This window comes from Homo sapiens, chromosome 3 (genome assembly GCF_000001405.40).
Source record: "Homo sapiens chromosome 3, GRCh38.p14 Primary Assembly".
Lineage (NCBI taxonomy): Eukaryota > Metazoa > Chordata > Mammalia > Primates > Hominidae > Homo > Homo sapiens.
The window spans coordinates 80540112-80563340 of NC_000003.12; the positions used below are offsets into that span (position 1 = coordinate 80540112).

At 33.5% G+C, this 23229-nt stretch overlaps 1 long non-coding RNA gene across 2 annotated transcripts in view, besides 1 other annotated feature; it reads right to left on the bottom strand.

Annotated features, from left to right (window-relative positions):
• The window catches only part of LOC105377177 (uncharacterized), a 250124-nt gene that overhangs the window by 19887 nt on the left and 207008 nt on the right, over positions 1 to 23229 (bottom strand). The gene's annotated exons all lie outside the window — the stretch shown is intronic.
• Positions 7440 to 15501: an enhancer, noted in NCBI's record as "VISTA enhancer hs1995". NCBI's record gives its function as "enhancer in: facial mesenchyme[5/7]" and the evidence as "EXISTENCE:transgenic organism evidence [ECO:0001131][PMID:17130149]".

Sequence of the window (23229 nt, forward strand, 5' to 3'; positions counted from 1 at the left end):
AAAATGAAGAATTAAAAAGAACATAGAACAGACAGGATAAATATGGAAAGCAAATAGCAAAATGGTAGATTTAAGACAAAATATGTCTATAAATGGATGAATTGCTCCAAATAATAGATAAGTACTGTCAAGTATGCATTTTAAAAAAAATCTCCTACATGCTCCTTACGTGAGCTACATCTAAAATATAAAGGTAATCTAAGATTTAAAATAAACAGGAGGAAAATATTTACTATGCAAACAATAATCAAAAAAGCAGGTGTAACTATTTTAACGTGGGAGGGTGGTTGACTTTTAGGGAAAAGGCTATAAGAAATGCAAGGAAACTTTCACAATCACAAAAGGTTGGGCTCACCAGGAAGACGCAACAATTTTAAATTGGTATGCAACAACAACAACAGCAACAAAAGTCTTTGCTTAAGACAGTAAAAGGTCAAGCCAGAGTTGAAAAAAAAGATGTTTGTAACAGATAAACTCAAAAAGACTCTTATCTTAAATGTATATTAACTACTATAAAATAATAGCAAAAGCCTGACAATCCAAAAACATTGGTCAAGGTATGTGAATAAGCTATTTACAAGATAGGTTATCCCCACAATGAGAAATATATGAAGGAGCACTCACTCTCATTGCTACTTAGATAAATAAAAATTAAAATCTCTGCAAGATAACTCTATGTTCCTACCTGAAAAACTAATGAAGAAATCTGAAAGCAGTGTTGTTGAAAATCCAGTACAATAGGAACACTAATACTCTGCAAGTACGAGTGTAAAATGCTAAAATATATTTTTGATTCAACAATTTATAAAATATAAATATTTTTCCTATGTTAATATCTTTTTTTACCTTGAATAATATATAACTTAATATATATAAGGAAATTAGTATATATCCTCTTTTTCCCATTCCATTTTCATATCAACTTTTATGCATTATATCTACTAAAGGTGTGCATATACATCTTCTTTGAGCCAGGAATCCCCTAGTAGATTTAGACCCAAAAGAAATAAGCACATTTGTACCAAGAGACATGTATGAGAATACTCAAAGAGAAGCTATATTCTTCATAGCCAAAATCTGGAAACCACTTATGGGTCCATTAGGAGTAGAATTGGTAAATAAAGTCTGGGCTATTCATACAATAGAATACTATGCGATACTGAAACTAAATGAAATCATCTATTGGCAACATGATGGCAGGTAAACCTGGGGACTCTGAAGGCTCACTTACTTCCCTCTTTTGGTAACTTAGCAGAGAGTTGGCTTACTCAGACTAAGAAATCTGGAGACCGGGAAGTTGATTTCAATATACCTGCCATTTAAGACTGTTCCCTTAAATGGGCCCTTGGTGTGCAGACTTTGCCACAAGAGCTGCTTAGTTCCTGGTATTGTTCCTGGCCTTAGGACCCCTCACTATAGCTCTTGTTACTTACAGAAGGACAGTATTCCCTACTCTATTTTCAGCTAGCCTATAAAAAAAGCAAGGTGAGCCACCATGGTAGTGAATGCCTGTAGTCCTGCTACTGGAAAGGCCAAGGCAGGGAGATCACTTGTGCCCAGGAGTTCAAAGCTGTAGTTCATCATGACTGCACCTGTGAACAGCCACTGTGCTTCAGCCTGGGCAACACAGCAAGACTCTGTCTCTAAAATAAACAAACAAACAAACAAACAAACAAACAAATAAAGCAAAGAGGTGTGGGGAACCATTTGTGTTGTCTCTTGCTGTTTTTTTGTTGCATGCCTGGCCTGCTGGCCAAACCTGAACTTTTCTGCTTAAATTTTGGTCACAATACACGCAGAACATGTAGCCCCTGCTTATGCTTCTAAAAATATAAGCATTCATGAGACTGCTTGTGCTTTCCCACTTCTCTGGATGTTAAGTTTCCCCCCTAGTATACCCTATGTTATATCCACACTGTATGTGATTAGAGTTTCATAGCTGTAATGCACTTGCCTGCCATAGCAACATGGAGAAAACTTATATGCATAATGTTAAGCAAAATAAGCCGCTCACAAAAATATACAAATGGGATTATACTGTTTACATAAGTTCTAAAACAAGCAAAGCTAAATTATAGTATTTGACATCAAGATATCTGTGCCTCCAGAAAGGGGAGAATGAGTAGCGATTGATTGTGGGCACAAAGGGAGCCCTAGGGTGCCAATAATGTACTAATTTTTGATCTATGGTGGTTACATGTATGGTTGATGTGACGATTCATTCATTAGTGTATACATCTTCAGTGCATTTTTACCTTGGCATCAAAAGATGCTGTTTGAAGTTAATACATTAAACAATAAGGTTTTAAGTATATTTAGCATAACAAACATGTTGCAGAGACTATTTTTGCTCACTAAATATTCCCTGCTTTTGTCTACTTTTCCCAGCCTGACTTGCAGTTAATTTTGAGACTTGTGAGCAGAGTAGACAGTGAGCAGAATTAGTGTGTGCCACTTCTGGGCTGAGGCTTTTAAGACCTAGTGTCTTCTTGTGTCTTTCTTTTCTACTGCCATGGTGTCCTTGGAGGCCACATATTCCAGATGATGTCACTTCCAGATGGAAGGAGGCTTCCCAACCCCCATCAATCTTTATGTGTGTGGGAAATGAACCTGTGTTGCATTAAGCAGCTGAGATTTTTCTTTAAGAAACCAGAACTAATTACCTTAATACCAAATGTCAACATTACAAACCATAAACAAATCAATACAAATTGGTGGTTAAAAGGAACAGGATAAAAGGATATATACTGTTTTCCCTTACTACTCAGGGTAAGGAGTAAAATATATTAATATAGAAAACTTTTACACAATTTTATTTTAAAAGTTACTGTTAGATAAAGCATATGTCTTTCAAATTATATGAAACATCTACAAAGAAAAGATCGTTTTTTTGTGTATGCATAGAATGTATATGGAAAAAAAACACAAGAAAATATTAACATTGGTTGTCTCCAGATATAGGAACATGTGAATGTATTAAATGTACAAGCCATGAATAAGAATTACATTTATGAAATGTTATAGCCAATTTCAATAGAAATAATAAAGCATTTTCTTTAGATATGCACTTTGCATTTAAAAAATTATTTGCAATGTTTATTGAAGTACCACCTTAAATATGTCAGTCTATCCTTCCTAAAATGGTCTTGAAAATATCAGTGAAGTATAGATAGAGAGATAAGCAGCATCTGATTTTATATCTGGTCTCAGGAAGTGGTTAATTCAATTTATCAAATACTCCAGATTCAATAAGTAAAGCATTACATGACAAACTCTGCTGTTTTCTTTCTTTCGTGACAGCTCACATGCTCCATGAAGTTAACGTTTCCAAGGTTCTGTGAGATTTCACATGCAAGGGTAGGATTCCTTTTTTTGGACCATTCTTATTTCTTCCAGATAAAATTTAGTGATAGTATTAATTCTGGAAGCAGAAAAGGGTAAATGAAATATAAACAGAATTTTATGAATAATATAATGGTTTTGACTTTGCCTCGGTGAAGACATAAAATAGACATTTAAATATATGTTGTACTCTGTCAGAGTTTGATCTTCCAATTCAACACAGTATTCTCAAATTCACTCCTTTGCCAGGGAACCAAATATACATTTTATGTGTGTATCTCCCACCATAAAAATGACCTTAGCAGATCAATGATAAGTTCTTCAATAACCAGACTCTTTTATATATATATATATATATATAATATCTTTATATATATATAAAATATCTTTATATATATATAAAATATCTTTACATATATATAAAATATCTTTACATATATATAAAATATCTTTATATATATTTTATATACAGTGAGGAAAATATCAGCCATACTTTCATATGATCTTATCAATACTTTCTATAGATACCTCCCCTTGGGATAATAATAACTGCACCACTCATAAAGACACTTTTAGTAATGTGCCTTCAAAATGCATTTTAATCGTGAAAGCATGCATTGAATTTTTAATATTATAAAACTTGGAGAACATACTGTCCTCTTCAACACTTTTCTTGACTTTAAATAGCCTTTGGACTCTTGAAAAAGTTAAGCCTAAGTCACATTATGACTAGATGATTTAGTTTAAACTCATATGAAAGCCACTTCATCCCCTTCATCATCCTGGCTGCCCTTTTCTGACCCTTCTCAACTCTATTACATTTGTCTGATGATGTGGTGTTAGTTCATAGCTTGATTGAGGTGTTTATTGATTTCAGCTACTGCTCTCTACTATATATAAATAAGTCTAAAAGTGAGAAGGTTTAAATTTGATAATGAAAGAGAAGGTTATTTCATGACATCCACGATTTCTTTGATGGTTTATCTGATGGGCTGTCAAAAGAGGGCATATCCAGAAAACTCAGCACCTATGAAAGAAAATGACCCAGCCAGTGGAGTCCAGAGATACAGACCTAGGAATTCATAATCTCTAATGGGGAACTGAAAGATTGTTTGAGATGGTATTTTCATTTCTTTCACATAAGAGTAAACATTTGAGAGAGAAAAGGCTTGCAAGAAGTGAATAGTTGAACATGAACACGCTTTACACACACACACACACACAAAAAAAAAAAACAGTTACATGTTACTTAATGACAGGAGTTTGCTCTAGGAAATGCATAGGTCATTTTGTCATTGTGCAAATATCACAGAGTGCACTTACACAAACCTATATAGTGTAGCCTACTACACACCTAGGTTATGTGGCACAGCCTATTGTTCCTAGGCTGCAGACCTATACAACATATTACTGTACTGAATACTATAGCCAGCTGTAATACAATGGTTAACTATTTGTGCATCTAAACATAGAAAATGTGCAGTAAAATATATTATAAGCTTATGAGACAATTGTTGCATACGCAGTTCATCATTGACCAAAATGTTGTTATGTGGTTCATGACTGTATATGTTTTCTGTATTCACTGAAAGCAGACCCCAAAACAAAGGGTTTAATACAGATAGTTTATTTAAAAAGTGATCCAAGGAATCATGAGTGACAAACATAGGGAAGTAGAAAGAGAAGGGAGCAGGGTAAGACAGGAGGATGTGTAATCCAATTTGCACCTGTTACGTGTAACTGGTGCTTGATGTGATTGGATGGTCTGAGGAGACTTGTAAAATGTATTTCAGAATAGTTGACCAGGGAGGCAAAAGTGAAAAGCATTTATTTCTTGATTTCAGTTCCTCCATTAAATAAAGGTTGCCTATTGAACTTGATTTTCCTATCTTTTAAGGTGTCTATAAAAGAGCACTGAGCTGGTTCCCTGGGTGTCCCTCACTGCAGGGTCATAATAACCTTGGAATAGGAATGAATATTTGTTCCACAAAAGACCAGAGCTGACCCTGTGCTCAACTGTTCAAAGCCTCCTTGGCACCGCTTTGCTGCAACAGTGGCCTGAGCAAGAGTGGGGCCAAGAGGATTTTATAAGCAATCTTGTGTATCTGATAGATTTTTTTATATTATAAAATTAAATACATACCTGATTGTAGTCATTATCAATATTTATTGATAATTATTCAAATAATTGATTATTGGAAGGATCCTCGTTATACTTTATAATCTACAGGTGATCTGAAATGTTTTAAAATATTTAATACATATACCCTTATTAAATCATTATATTATAAAGTAATAATTAACTGAATTAACCTAATAATATTTTACATTTAGAAGAGTATTAGTGAGTGGATTTTTTTTAGTATCTGGGATAAGCTAATTGGTCATCTTGGCCATGGACCCTGTTTTCAACACATAAATCCTGATGGAATATTTAGAAAAAGTTTATATATGGCTTTCTAGCAATTATTAACAATAACTGATAAAATATTAGCAGTTTTAGATGTGTATTCTTCTTTTTTTTTTTTTTTTAGATGAAGTTTTGCTCTTATCACCCAGGCTGGAGTGTAGTGGCTTGATCTCATCTCACTGCAACCTCCGCCACCTGGGGTTCAAGCGATTCTCATGCCTCAGCCTCCTGAGTAGCTGGGATCACAGGCGCATGCCACTAGGCCCAGCTAATTTTTGTATTTTCAGCACTGACAGTGTTTCACAATGTTGGCCAGGCTGGTCTTGAACTCCTGATCTCAAGTGATTCTCCTACCTTGGCCTCCCAAAATGCTGGGATTACAGGCATGAGCCACCATGCCTGGCCTAGTTGTGTCTTCTTTAACCACTGTAAACACATTGAGCAATATTATTCTTCACTCAGAGAGTCCAATGAAAGAACAGATTTTTCTGAGTCTAAATACAAGGTTTGAAGGGTAAAAACAAAGGCTGTGTAAAGACTTCCCTAGTACAAAGACTTGCTAGAGTGTTTTGGAAAGCTCTAATCTTTAGAAAAGATTATCTCTTACTAATGTGAAAAAGATAATTTATAGCATGAAATTAGATATAAACATGAGTTTAGAACTGTAGCTAAGTTTGTGCAATGTTCACAATTGTGATGTTGTCTTTATTAAACTTTTTCCACTGGATCTTTGTTATTAATAGTTCTTTTTGCTCTTTTTCTCACTCTATTTTCACTTTAGTCATTATGGTCCCTGTTAATTCTTTTGTTGTAACTCTTGGTTATTATTTTCATTCTTTATTTGATTTCCTTGTTTCATTAGTATTTGTTCAATATGTCTCAGATTCTTGCAATTCTGTCCTTACATTTCTTTTTTATCTTTTTAATTTTTAAATTTTATTTTATTTTTATTTATTACTATTTTTATATTTTTAAAAATGTTTGTGGGTACGTAATAGGTATATAAATTTATGGGGTACATGAGACATTTTGATACAGGCATGCAATGTGAAATAAGCATGTCATGGAGAATGGGGTATCCATACCCTCAAGCATTTATCCTTTGAGTTACAAAGAACCCAATTACACACTTTAAGTAATTTTAAAATGTAGTTATTGTTGACTATAGTCACCTTATTGTGCTACCTAATAGTAGGTCTTAATCGTTCTTTCTGACTATTTTTTCTGTACCCATTAACCATCCCCACTCCACCCCACTAAGCTTCCCAGCCTCTGGTAACCATCCTTCTACTGCCTATGTTCATGAGTTCAATTGTTTTTGGCTTTTGGATCCCACAAATAAGTGAGAACCTATGATGTTTGCCTTTCTGTGCCTAGCTTATCACTTCTTGGATTTCTTAAAATTTTGAAGATTTGATTCAGAAACAAATGGATGGATCTACATGTACCACAAACAAAATATCATTTCTGTCATTAACCAGTGTTAACATTTCACAGTTAATATGTGTATTTTTATGTGGCCATTTGATATCATACATTCGTGGGCTTGCATACTACTAGAGCAAACCTAGATACCAACGTAAGTTTTTATGAATTTTTACAGCAATTATTCACTGTGCACATTGGAAGTACAAGTCTAAAATAAGAAGAAAGAGAAATAATTGAATATAATTATGAAATGTGTACTGGGGGAAATATGAAAGATGGAATTCCAAATGTGCAATTGTGAATTATTGAGGAGGAATAAATAAATCAATAAATATGTTGAAAGACTAAAATATGAAAGTCAGTGGCTTGCAGAATAAAATACTTCATGATAAGAAGATTTTCAAAGATTACAAGGATAAGTTGTTGTTAACCTTTAACAAGAAGACACAATTGTTTTGAAAAATGTTTAGAATTAAGATTTAGACCTAAGATTAGAGTGGTTTGTGGGATGTTTCAGTGATACAATATCCCTCTCAATATTACAAAACTTTTAAAGTTTGATATTTTTAAGTATAGAAATGTTTCCCATGGGATGTAAGGCAGTAAGAACATGCATGGTATTGATGGGAACTTGACAGTTATGCTGTGACAAGTGGTAAACCTAGCGTATAGGTGGTTATGCCTGGAAACTTTTGAGGTCTTTCTTAATCCTGGGATTCCATGACACGTACATTAGCAAAAACAGGATGCCACGACAGAGAGACCGCATAGTAGAAAAACATATAACAAAATGAAGAACATAGGAAAAATGTCACAGGTGAAGGCACATTTTCTGGTTCATCAGTGGTGTGTTGTACCTGAGTCTTCATATGGTGGAAGGGACAAAGCCTCTCTCTGGGGCTTCTTTTATAAGGGCACTACTGCCTTCCATGAGAGCTCTGACTTCATAACCTAATAAACTCCCACAGTCCTCATTTTCTAGAACCATCACACTGGGATTAGCTTTCAACATGTGAATATTTTGGGGACACTCAAATTTTCAGACTATAGCAACTGTGAATCTGAGTCTTACTCTGAATCATACTATTTCTAAAGAAAGATTTTTTTAAGTCTCCATATTCTATTGTTACTTGTCTATTTGGTGAGGAAACTGAAAGAAGGAAAATGAACAAGGCAGGACTCAGGAGGTCTTTCCTTCTGGCTCTAATGTAATAATGGTTGTGTTAATAAACATTACTAATCTCTAACTATTTTTTAAAATGCATTTAAAATACTGTTTAAGTCTTTTTGCAATCTCTTCAATTTTTGATATAGCCACCCAACAGCATAGAATTGAAAATTTTCATTATAATCCTGATTTAATATCTGAAAAAACATTTAAAGTATACTATTTATATTAGAGCAAAAATCATTCTGATAACTCTGTTTAATGTAAAGAAGCCAAATAAATTGCGCACTTATATAACCTGTCTTATTAAAAATAAATAACTATGAAGAGTGATTAGAGAAAGAATGTTCAATGCATTCATTATTGTTACACACATTACCATATCCTTTCTTTTTCTCTCTCAAACTTGTGACCCCGATCACCAAGAAACATCTAATAGACATAATACTAATTTCAAGTGATTTGTTGAGATAATCGATCAATTAATTAATATATACCTATGAAAGTGAATACACTAGGCATGTTATCTAGATAGACTTCACAGTCTACTTAAACAGAAGCATTGTATAACCCTGTGCTTTCCCAACTTTAACTTTCATGTCAATTACCTATAGATCTTGTTAAAATGCACCTCATGTTAAGCATTTTTAAGATTGTTCCATGCTTCCTGGTCTTGTCTTCCAAATTCATTGATACTTCATATTTTCAGCCTCATCTCCTGTTGTTTACTCATTACAATGTTATAGTAAATTGTCCATTTTTTCTTACATTAGACTTGTTATTACATAGCAGCATCAAAAGCTTTTCACCTATTCCCTTTAATCTCAGGGTTTCAGTGAGAGCCAGCCCTCTGTGTAAAGCTTTTGTCTTTTGCCCTGACATTTAAAGTCCTCCGTACATTTCACAAATTCTTTCATGGTGACTTTTTTCAGACTGTGTGCTCTTGATTCCACCTGAAACCATGCATTCTTTTGTATGTTTCAAAAACCAGAGTAAGACATTATGCCACATTTTTTTCTGCAATGATAACTATATGTTACTCATTTTCTTTGATTAATATATTTGAAGTTTAATATTATTATTCAGTTTCTTAGCCAAATAACTCTGCACTCTACTTTTTGTTTATTTTCATTTATAAACTCTAACAGTTTGATGCAGCCCTGACTGAAATGAACACAATGATATACTTCTTTTATTGCAAAATTATTCTCTAAAAAAACTTAAATTATTTATCAAATCAATAGTCAGATAATAACTAAGTTGGCCTTTTATGAGTTTTAATAAATAAAACTATTTAAATATATGCTCACTGAAAAAAAAATCAGTGCTCTAAAATCATAAAAATATGTTACCCTGGATTTTAAAATAGCACCGACAAATATAGTAATTAAATCAGTTTTCTAATTAGAAATGTTCACAGTGGCAAGTTTTACTTTGAATTTAATTATTTACACTATCACAACAAACATACTAACAAGCCAAAAATAAGTGAAAAAAGCAAACCTACAAACAGGAAAGTAATAAATCTCCCATATACTATGAGAACTATCGGTATTAAAAAATTGTATCTTCAAACAAAATTTGTCATTTTCAGTGCGGATGCTTTTAGACGAAAATTAGCTGGCATATTAAAATAGTGATGAGCTCACAGTCTTTTTTAAAATTAAATGTCAATTTAGTAATAAGTGAGCCTTCCAAAAATATTCTAGATATATGGGAGGGGAGAAATATAAATATACATGTTAGGACGGCTACACCATTAAGAGGAAAATTGCTCCTTTCTAGTCTTTGAGTTACTTAAGATTAAATTGTTGGCTCAGTGTCTACGATCATCCCAGTGGCTGCACGCCAGATTAGCAATATTGCAAACCTGAGTCTATCAGCTCGAGGTAGTGTTGCTGGCGTGAGCCTTTGCAGCACTTAATTTAATTAGATGAGGCTTCCATTGTTGAAACTGCTGAACCCAGTATTTTTGACTGAGCCAAGGAAGAATCTAATTTATTAGACCTTTGAAACTGCACTGTAGAATTGTTATTGTGGTGTCTCACAGCAACTGCAATGTTTTGAGTATAAATTCTGAATCCCAAGGAAAGCAGTATTTCAGGGATCTATCCTATGTTTATTGCTGATGCACTAGGCATTTTTCTTTGGAGCTATGCATCCTATTATGATCTTGGTTATTGTTGGCCTGCAAGTTCAAATACAGTTTTCCATTATTATTCCATGAAGAAATTTGGTGCTGTGATGGGAGTAGTGAGTGGGATAAAGGAGAGCTATATTTTGTTTCACCTTTGTTTTATTGTGTGATATTGAAATTTCCATTTTATTCCAACATGCTTATATACAAGAAAAACGACAAACATTTCTCTAGAAGCAGGAGACATTATAAAGCTTATAAAATAAATTCTAAAAGGAGCTTTGAAATATTTAGGAGAAAGGAAATTAATTTTTATTGAGCAACTGCTTCATGCTTGGTAAAAAATGGCAAACATAAAAACAAAATAAGCAACAGCAAAATCTCTTGGTCTTGGCCTCAAAAGAGATTGTATTTTAATGGAAGAACTAAACATGATCAATATATTTTCTAAGTACGTATCTGATTTATAAATACAACTAAATAATTTGTAGACTATATTCAACTTGAATAAATGAAGGGATATTTAGATTTTATTCTATATGCAAAAGAGGTATTAAATTACATAACCTTTTAAGGAAGACATTTGTATTTTTGACTCTTTCTTTAGAAGCAATTGATGGTATTTGTTTTGGACATAAATTATCTCAGTACAAGGCAGTGGACATATATGTTAAAGGTATGAGATTTGGGTATGAATTTTTATAACATCACTCAGAAATCACATTTCCATTTACTGAGAAAATATTAATCAATTGTATCATTCACGATTTAAGCATTGCCCTAGTTCTTGAGCATACTGCAAAATAAGATATCTATGGTCTCTGTTCTAAGTTTTTAATAGAATTATAATGTACCAGGACATTGGCATATACAGAAAAAAGTATCAAGTGTTATATTATAAAGGATATTATGGTTCATGGGAGGAGACAATAGAAGGATCTAACCTTGGCCGATGGTCCAAACTACGGTTCCCTAAGGAAATTATATTCAAGCCTTTAACTGATAGGTAGATACTGCGTTATTATGCCTTTATAGTCTTATTGACACATACATAGCTTTCTGTTTTACTAGCTGAAATAGCTCTGTTCTTTATAAGGGAACTACAGAGTATGTATAAAGAAAAATAAATGTGTTTCTTTCTTTATAGTATTTTTTAGTCTTTATAGTCTTTTTTCACTGTAGGACTGAATGTCTCTACAGATTCAAATAATTTAGGTTATTTTTCGAGGAAAAATAGAAAGGAAAGTGAAGTTTTTCATTAAAAACATATTTGCATAGGCTTTTATTATGGGATAAAGTAGTTAAAATATTTAGGTGCCTTAAAAGATAACATTCAAAGTAAGTTGTCACTGAGAAAATATGTACTACTCTAAAAGAAGAAATTATTTTTATTACTAATTTTATTATTTTCATAATTATTATTTTAATGAGTGATCACCTTTGTAACTTTTTATTCATCTGAAAAATAATAAAGGCCTTTGTTTTTAGCACAATGGGATTCTTTGTTATGAAGTGGCTACCAGGTGGGAAGATGGCTGGTCCACGGTAGGGATAGAGGAAGGATGTTGAGAAAAATCATGGAGGAACTTCAAAACCAGTGCCTTTGAACTTCTGTATGCATCCAAGTCATCTTGGGATCTTGATAGTATATCGGTGATGACCATAATACTAGGGTCATTAAGGTGATGCCTGAGAATCTTTAGCTCTTAGGTGATTGCATTTTCTTATCTATACACCATACTTTGAGTAGCACAGTTTCAGGCTGAGAATTTTAAACTGTATTGGTATAACAATGGGAAGGTATCAAGGAATTCTAAGCAGGATAGTGACAGATGTGATTTTTATTTTTATAAGATTGCTCTGTGAAAAAATGCAGAGTAACCTTATATTTATATTGTTCAGTCAAAGAAGATAGTATGAAAAGGCTACATGCTATCTGACTGTAACTACATGACATTTTAAAAAGGATAAAACTGGGAAGAGAGTAAAAGGACCCATGGTTTCCAGGGATTAGGAGAAAGGAATAGAGGGAGGAAGACATGGAAGGGAGAATTTTAGAGCAATTGAAACTATTTTGTATGATACTGTAATGGTGGAATTATGTTATACTTTTTCAAAACCAAGCAGATGTATAACACAGAGTGAACTCTAATGTAAACTATAAACTTTAATTAATAATAATGTGTCAATATTGGCTCATCAGCTACAACAAATGTATCATGCTAATGTAAGATATTAATAATATAGAAAACTGTAGTGACTGAGAGTGGGTTATGCAGGGAATCTACTTTCTGTTCAATTATTCTGTAAACCTAAAACGACTCTAGGGAAGAAAGTCCAGTATTAAAGAGAAAAAGATCACTCTTACAGCAGCGTAACAAAAAAGATAGGAATAAAAAAAAATGCAGTGCAGAAACTATTTTACCTTGTAATTATTTTTCAACATCAAATCAGTACTGCATAATAATATTGAGTCCATTATCATGAATCTGTGGTTCATGACACAAAAGTTGTGTTCCCTTGATTGCTACATTAGTAAAAATAAAAAAGAGAAATATACAAAATAAGCACGTGAATCAAGTGGTACAATTAAAGTAACAACAACAAACTTTACCAGACCCATGAATATAGAACTGTTTTTTTCATTCTATGTATTATGCCTTAGTATGTGGTTCATGCTACTTAGGTGGAAGGTAGCAATGGTACGAAACACTAGGATGAGAATAATAAGGGAGAAAAATATGCGAATTCATGGTATATTTACACAGTAGAATTTACAGGACTTGATGAGTCACAGAATATGAGGAGCAAAGAGAATGCAACATCTAAATTTACTCACAAGCACCTGGCCAAAGAACTGAGCAGACGTTGGTGCTTTTTACTGGCACAGAGATTAGGAGAGAATATTTTATTAGGAGGATAATAATGGAAACAGCAGATCGTGGAATATGTGCTGGCTTAAGAGAGAAACAAAGTATAGTAATTGGTGATGAAATATGTATAAATAATAAGTAAGAAAATAAATCAAGCTATAATTTCTGATACAGTCAAAGTAAAATTGTTTTGGGGTAGCCGTGACAAGAGGATTACCTTGTTCTACTGAAGATTATTTAAATTATTAATTTCAGAAATGACTGCATCTTGGCTTCTGTAAGTTCAAATTTATAAACATGCATCTTTTTATTGGAAAATGGCAGAGAAAGTAGTCAAAGGAAGAGGTTATCAGAGAACTGAAATGTCCACATTTTGGATGAGTAATCTGTGAGGATAATGGAATCATACTGAGAAACAAAAGGAACAATCATGAAAATTAAGAGTGTATGTCAGGCACTAATATCTTAAATAAATGAGGGGATATATTTAGGAGCTCAGAAGTGGACTGTAATAGAAAGGAAACAGTCATGTATTTGACTTTTATGACTCTTGAAAAAGTGGGATTTAAAGAAAAGCATTAGTTTTTCTTTATTCGGAAACTGACGTTCAAGAACAACGAAGATAACAATCACATTTCTAACCCTGGTAGGCATGGGGTGAGCGAATAAGGAAAATCACCACTAAAGAAGATTTCATGTATATATGGGAGGTTGTTGACTATGACTAAGAGTTCCAGAGTGCTCAGTCTAAGGAGTTGGGATACAAGGAGAGAAAGAGGTTTTAATTAGCGGAGAAAAAGAACAAAGAGGTTAAATGTAAAATAAATATCCTTCTACTTTGGACAGATGCAGGAAAGAGGAATCTACTTTTGTCAGAAAGGTACAGGAAAATAACAGGGTAGAGGCACAGAAAATTTTACATCCACAAACTCCAGGAAGATACAGATTCTCTGGCTGCCTTGTAATGGATTCCCTATAGTTGTACTATGAGTTTGAATGTACCTTTCAGTTCCTACGGTGTTGAAAGTTTTGAGTAATGCATGAGTGATTCATAAGAAGCTAGCAAGTATCCATCTATGATCGTGCATGTGAAGAAGTGGAGCTGCAGGTGAGAAAGGTCCAGAAAGATAGTTTCCCAATAGCATCTTGACAATGATTTCAATAGGACAGCCCGTTTGAATGTTGTGCACACCAGGTCTGAACTCCAAATAGTCTTGAATGGATGAAATGAAACAGATCAGCACATTTTTGTGGATTTATATTTTTATGAATGAACTGTAACTTCTAAATGCACAATAAATAAAAATATAATTTGAGATAGTCAGAATTTTCAATTATAATGTGTTAAATGTAATCAGCATTTAATAGTTTCAAAGTGCAGAGTTAACTAGAAAAAAATTTCTCTTTACCTATATTATCATAACTTTTATTTGGAAATTGATCTTTAGAAAATTTAACTGTAAAGAAACATATTTCTATTCATTTAAGATGACCCTTGAGAATTGCATTAAAAGTTTTTTTCCTTTATGTGGAGTAGTGATTCAGAATATTTTTAGAGCATTGAGAGTGCTTTTTAGCAATTCTCCTCATGGTGAGCCATAGGTCATTTAAAATTTATGCTACTCGCTCAACAGGAAAGTTACCAGGATCCTGGGCTGTATGAAAATTGATAACATTCATTGATCAATGATGTATGAACTGAATCTACAACTTGTTTATTTGGCTTCACCTGCACTTCCTTGACATTTTGATTCATATTCTTGGCAATACTTGTATGAAGTCACATGCATGCTGGAAAATAATCAAATCATTTTGATACTCTAATGATATACAATTTGTGCAGTAGCCACTGCCTCTAACTCTTATCCAGGAATCCAAGTCATTGGGATAATTTTAAATGGAACATGTATGTTAAAATCCCATGAGGATTTTCTTGGGATTTGCTGTTTTTGTAATACAGCTACTACAAATTCCAAAGAAGGATATAGCTTGATATCTATTTTCTAGGTCCAGAGAATTTTGCCATAAATATAAAATCGTATAATATTCCAATGAATTTTTTTTAAAAAGGTCAAATGTGTAAGAAGCTGTTAAGATTATTGTATTTGAAAAAACTGGAAAATCCACTGGGCTTGATTTGCTATGGTCTGTTAGGTGGTTATCCTTTGTCATCATCTGCTTGCAAAGGCTTCACTGATTTCTGGACAGTTTTTTCTTTTATTGCATGTCCTTTTAAAGTAGACTCCTAGTTTATTTCTGAGCCAGAGTTACTACTGGCTCTTCTCTTCCCTTGGTGTATCAGGATTTCATTCTGAGGTCCATGATGTTTTACTGTTGTTCTTTAAAAGTCGAGCCAAGCCCTTGCTTTGTTGTACTAGCCCATCCTATTAGTCAAATTTTCTTTTCTTTCTTTCTGTTTTTCTTTTCTATTTTTTTTTTTTGTTGTTGGAGTCTTGCTCTGTCGCCCAGGCTGGAGTGCAGTGGCGTAATCTCAGCTCACTGCAACCTCCACCTCCTGGGTTCAAGAGATTCTCCTGCCTCAGCCTCCCGAGTAGCTGGGACTACAGGCACATGCCACCATGCCCGGTTAATTTTTTGTGTTTTTAGTAGAAATGGGGTTTCGCCGTGTTGGCCAGGATGGTCTCCATCTCCTGACCTCATCATCCACCCACCTCGGCCTCCCAAAGTTCTTGGATTACAGGCGTGAGCCACCGCGCCCAGCCTCAAATTTTCTTTTGCTACCTAATTCCCCCACAGAATGAATATCCTACCCCTAAATCTTGATCGGTTCAAACACTGGAATTTAAATATGCTATCTCTATTCTGCCTTGTGTCCTATAATCTCCAACTGATAAAATTCTGCTGCTTATACTCTGCTGCTGGAAAGTTGGACTCTAGAACAAAACTAACCGAATTGGAACTACTGACTATCTATATTAACTTGGATTATTTACTTAATTATCCCACTTGTGTCTACATTTTTTTTTCTATAACATAGACAATGATTACAAAATGCCTACCATATAGGGTTGTTCTGAATATTAGAGAAGTTAATACTCATTAGTGGTTAAACAGTGCCTGGCACTCCACAAGTATTTACAAAATGAAATGTCTATGTAAATACACACTTATTTTCATTCATTTATTATAGTTTTTATCTTTTGCTAATGATATTTACAATCAGCCCAACACTTTTATCTATTACAAGCCCTCCATAACTTTTTTCCTTATCTAGAATTTACCTTAGGTTTCACAATTATAAATTATTTTTACATACTTTCCTGCAATACCTTACAGGCTTTGTCTGTGTCTGTTTTCAAATTGCTAGTGGCTTGCATGACTTACTCACTAAAGATTTTTCATGCATAAAATATCTCTCTCATGAAGTTGTTTCAAGGACAAAATAGATAATATATGGTAAACACATGCCAGAGTGCTGAGCACTCAGTAATGCTCAATAATTCTTGGCTCGCCACCCCATCTGCTATTCCTATTTTGAATGAAAAGTCTCAACTTGTCCTATTGCAGAACAAGGCTTGTTTATGACATGTAGGTAATGGTGATTTACAGCCAATAAACTTTGGGGCAACAGCTTGAAAGGCAATCTCTTCCCTTAGAAGTGATAAGCATATTTAATTTTAGCTTTCCACTATCTTAGGGGTTAGTTAAACACCAGGCAACACTCAGTAAATGTGACCATTAACTACACTTGCTGGAAAAATAGAATAATTGAGACTGGAAACCACAAAGTAACTGAACAAACTACATAATTAAAAACATAAACAGGTCTAATTCATAAAATAATTGCAGCAATATTAGGTAACAACTATTATACAACTAGTCTCTTTAACTAGTAAATTAAATTTTTGATGATCTCTGTATGCACAAAATATGTATAAGAAAATATATAGGTATTATAAAGTATAAATTTTTAATTCCTGACAGAAATCTATCAGCCATAATTTCTGGATTTTAGGGTATTTTAGATAATGACATAATGTTTGAGAAAGATTTACTGTAATTTTTTTCAGATTCTGATTGTGAATTATGTATTACCTGCCACATACTCAGAATAGAGTCTGAGAGAGACTTCACTGATACATTGTTTATTTAATGACTATAAATTATAAAACTATCCTAGTGATAGTTCGGAAAATCGCAACATAATATAAAAGAAGGAACAAAATTTCAGTGAAAAAAAATGCCTCGGCTGATAATTGCTTAAAAATACAGTATCAAATACTTTTAAGGTAGCTATGTAAATTTGTAGATATAATACATTTTGTGATCAGATCTGAAACACTGTTTAACATCTTTATCTATATCAAATGAATGACAGTTAGAAAACACCATTTATGACATGTATCATCACCTAAAATTATCCATATAAAATCTTAGCAACAATAAGCAAAACCCATGTACTGTTACTTTCCTCCTAATGCATTAATTGATCTTCATGGGTTACACATTTACTAATATATACTGAATGCATTTATGTACTCATTTCATCAACACTTGTTGAACAACTTACTACATGCCTTTAATTGCCTCTGTTTATATACTATATGCTATTTGCCTTGCAAGGGTTAAATAATGTTGTTTTATATAAAGAAATAGATACTTTACCTGCAATATGGCTAAAATGAGATGCAGAATTACAAGATGATATTTTTGATGGGTATTGTCTCACATAAACTAATCCTTAAGGCAATGAAAATAGAAATGGAATATATATGAGATATATATAGATTTATAAACTATATGTATATTTGAGATTCTATTAATTATATATAGAGAGACTTAAAATAGTATTGGGCTATGGGGTAAGTATTAATTAGAAACACAGTGTTTTTAAAAATATAAAACAGAAATTTATCCTCACAGTTCTGGAGGCTGGCAAGTCCAAAATCAAGGTACCAGCACCTAGTGACGGCTCTCTTGCTGTGTCCTCACTTGACTGAAGACAAAAGGGCAAGACAGAAACTCTGTGCACCCACATGGCAGTAGAGCTGAAGAGGGTGAACTCACACCTCAAAGCCATTTTTACACTGCCTTGAATCTATTCATTAGATTTTCGCCCTCATGACTGAAACATCTCCCATTAGGCCACACCTCTCAACACTGTTGCATTCAGGATTAAGTTTTCAACACATGAATTTAGGAGTTTACATTCAGACTATTATAGTTGTTATCACATAGTTGCTTTATGTGTTGCAGCAGTGTCCTGGTCCTGTACCCATTGCCTGTACCCTTACTGTATCTAGGAAGTAACTAACTTACCTTTGATTTTTCAGGCTCATAGGTGGAAGGGACTTGCCTCGTCTTATATGGTACTTTGGATTTGGACTTTGGGGTTAGTGTTGAAATGAGTTAAGACTTTGGGGGTCTGTTGGAAAGGCATGATTGGTTTTGAAATGTGAGGACATAAGATTTGGGAATGGCCAGGGTGGAATGATATGTTTTGGATGTGCCTCCACCCAAATCCATCATTTCTTTGTATACTTATTGATTGATGGGCATTTGGACTCATTCCATCTTTTTGCAACTGCAAATGGTGCTGCTATAAACCTGTGTGTAAGTATCTTTTTTCGTATGACTTCTTTTCCTCTGGGTAGATACCCAGTAGTGGGACTGCTGGATCAAATGGTAGTTCCACTTTTAGTTCTTTAAGTAATCCCCAGATTGTTTTCCATGGTGGTTGTGCTAGTTTACATTCCTACCAACACTGTAAAAGTGTTGCCTTTTCACCACATCCTTGCCAACACCTATTACTTTTTGAATTTTTGTTATGACCATTCTTGCAGGACTGAGATGGTATCACATTACAGTTTTGACTTGCATTCCCCTGATCATTAGTGATGTTAAGCATTTTTTCACTTGTTTGTTGGCCTTTTGTATACCTTCTTTTGAGTTGTGTATTCATGTCCTTGGCCCACTTTTTGATGGGATTTTTTGTTTTGTTCTTGCTGATTTGTTGGAGATTCTTTTAGATTTGGGATATTAGTCCTTTGTCAGATGTATAGATTGCAGATTTTTTCACATTCTGTGGGTTGTCTGTTTACTCTGCTGCTTACTTCTTTTACTGTGCAGAAGCTTTTTAGTTTAAGTCCTACGTATTCATCTTTTTTTTTTTCTTGTTGTGTTTGCTTTTGGGTTCTTGGTCATAAAGTCTTTGCCTAAGCCCATGTCTAGAAGGATTTTCCAGTGCTATCTTCTAGAACTTTTGTGGTTTCAGGTCTTAGGTTTAAGTGTTAGATCCATCTTGAGTTGATTTTTGTATAAGGTGAAAGAGGAAGAACCAGCTTCATCCTTCTACATGTGGCTTGCCAATTATCCCAGCACGATTTGTTAAATGGGGTGTCTTTTTCACACTTTGTGTTTTCTGCGGACACAATTGCACAGTACTCAGCCTGCTCTAATATGCAAGTGCCACCTACCGGCCTGGAGGTTGAGCTGCACAACCCAATGTAATATCTGCTGACAGAAATGCACACTCCTGGGGGTCAAGATAAGTTTTCTGCAACATCTATGTCCCCCTCTCTGCAGGAGGCCGTGAACTTGCTCACATGCCAGTACACTGCTACTACAACCAGCATGTGAGAAAGCCACCACATCAAGGCCATCTGTAACCAAGGAATTAATACAGAGTCTTGGCTCCCTAAAAACACCCAGAAGCAAAACCAAATGACACTGCTCAACATACATTAAGATCACGTGCTCAAGGGGGAAAAAGTTTCATCCAAGTGAAAGTAAATTCAAAAATAAACAGTGAACAGCTTCTCCAGATGAGGAAAAAAATAGTATAAGAATTCTGGCGGTACAAAAAAAAAAGGGGTATTACAACAACCCAAAGGATAACACTAACTCTCCTAAATCTCTAGTAGTAGATACTAAGCAAAATGGAAATTCCAAAATGTCAAAGAAAAAGTTCAAAATATGGATTGTAAGGTAACACAAGAGATTCAGGGGAAAGTTGAAAGCCCTCCTAAATCTCTAGTAGTAGATACTAAGCAAAATGGAAATTCCGAAATGTCAAAGAAAAAGTTCAAAATATGGATTGTAAGGTAACACAAGAGATTCAGGGGAAAGATGAAAGCCAGCACAAAGAAGTAAGAAAAACAATTCAGGATATGAATTAAAGATATACTAAAAGATAAGTATTTTTAAAAAATAGAACTTCTGGAAATAAAAAAGTCATTAATGGAATTACAAATTACAGTTGAAAGCTTTTCCAATAGACCAGGCTAAGCAGAATAAATAATTTCAGAGCTTGAAGACAGGTTTTAAAAATTCATCCAAATCAGAGAAAAATGAAAAAAAAAAAAGATGAAAAAATAAACAAAGTCTTTGAGAAATAGTAGATTATGTACAGCATATAACCCTATGGGTCATAGATATTCCTGAGAGAGAAAAAGAAAGAATAAAATGTTAAATGTTTTGAGCACTTTACATATCATTATTAACCTTGAAGGTAAATGAACTAAATGTTTCACTTAAAATATATAGATTAGCAGAAAGGATTACAAAAAAAACAAATAAACCAAGATTTAAACATATGCTGCTTTTAAAAAACCCACCTAACTGGTAAAGACCTTTATAGACTGAAGATAAAGTGCTGGAAGAAGATATTCCATGCAAACAGAAACCAAAAGCCAGCAGGAATAACTCTACCAATCTCAGAGAAAACAGACTTTAAATCAACAACATAAGAAAAGACAAAGAAAGTCATTATATAATGATAAAGGGATCAGTTCAACAAACAAGCTAACAATCCTAAATATATATTGTGCTCAACACCAGAACACCTAGAATCATAAAAGAGACACTGCTAGACCTAAGAAAAGAGATAGACAGCAATACAATAGTGGGTGATGGCAAAACTCCAGTAACATCACTAGACAGATAATCAAGGCAGAAAATCAACAAAGAAACTATGGACTTTAATTGGACTATATGAAATGGACCTAACAGTCATTTGCAAAACATTTTACCTAGTAACTACAGAATATACTTTCTTCTTATCTATATATAGAACATTCTCCAAAACTGACTATATATTAGGCCACAAAACAAGTCTCTTAAAAAAGTGAAATTATGTCAAGCATCTTCCAAAAGCACCATGGAATATAATTAGAAATTAATACCAAGAGGAACTGTCAAAACTATATAAATGCATGGAAATTAAAAAATCTGCTCCAGAATGATCTTTGAGTCAATGCTCAAGTTTAGGTTGAGAATCAAAAATATTTTGTAGCAAATAAAAATAGAGACACAACATACCAAAACTTAAATACAGCAAAATCAGCATTAAGAGGGAAGTTCATAGCATTAAGTGCCTACATCAAAAAATATGGAAAGGTCAAAAATTAACAGCCTAACATCACACATTGAGGAACTAGATAAACAAGAATAAAACAAGCCCAAAGCTAGCAGAAAAAAAGAAATTACAAAGTCCAGAAAACAAGTAAATAAAATTGAAACCAGAAACTGCAAATAATCAACAAAACAAAGTTTTTTCTTTCAATAAATAAATAAAATGTATAGTCTTCTAGGTAGATTAACCTAGAAAAACAGAAAATTCAAATAAGTGCAATGAGAAATGAAAAAGGAGACATTAGAACTGATATCACCGAAATACTATCGATCATCAGAGACTACTTTGAGTTCTCTATGCAAATAAACTAGATACCTAGGGGGGAAAAATCTCTGTATAGAACACCAATAGAAGAAATTGAATATTACACAAACAAATGGAAAAATATCTCATGCTTATGGATTGGAAGAAGTAATATTCTTAAAATGGCCATACTGCTCAAAACAATTTACAGGTTCAATTCAATTCCTATCTAAATACAAATGTTACTTTTCACAGAATTAGGAAGAACACCCCTAAAATTCAAATGGAACCCAAATAGCCAAAGCAGTCATAAGCAAAAAGAATAAAGCTGAAAGCATCATATTACCTAACTTTAAAGTATGTTACAAGGCTATAGTATCCAAAACAGTATGATAGTGGTATAAAAATAGACACGAAACTGGAACCAAGTCTCTCTCCATATAAAAAAATTAACGCAAGATGAATTGAAGGCTTAGATTTAAAACCCAATACTACAAAAAATTAGAACAAAATGTAGAAAAATAATTCTGAACATTGGAATATGCAAATAATTTATCACTAACACCTCAAAAGTGAGTGTAATAAAAAGAAAAATAGACAAAAGGGACTTAACTAAACAAAACAGCTTCTGCACAGCAAAAGAAATAGCAAAATAAAGAGAAAACCTAGAGAATGGGAGAAAATATTTGCAAATTATGCATACAACAAAGGAGTAATATCCAGAATCCACAAGGACCTCAAACAACTCAATAAGAAAAAAAAAAAAAAACATTTAAAACTGGCATGGATATGAACAGACATTTCTCAAAAGAAGACATACAAGTGGCCAACAAACAAATAAAAAAATGCACCATATCACCAATAATAGATAAATGCAAATTAAAACTACAATGAGATGTTCTCTTCTGCCAGTCAGAATGGCTATTACTAAAAAGTTAAAAAAAAAACAGCAGATGTTGGTGACGATGCAGAGAAAAAGAATGCTTATAAACTTTTGATGGGAAGGTAAAATTAGTATGGAGATTTTTCAAAGAACTATAAATAGAACAATCTAGCAATCCCACGACAGGGCATCTACACAATGGGAAAATAAATCATTATATCAGAAAGACACCTGCACTAGTATGTTGATTACAGCACTATTCGCAACAGCAAAATCATGAAATCAATCTAAGTTTCCATCAATGATTGATTGGATAAAGAAAGCAGGGTATAAATACATATATACCATAAAATGCTACTCAGCCACAAAAA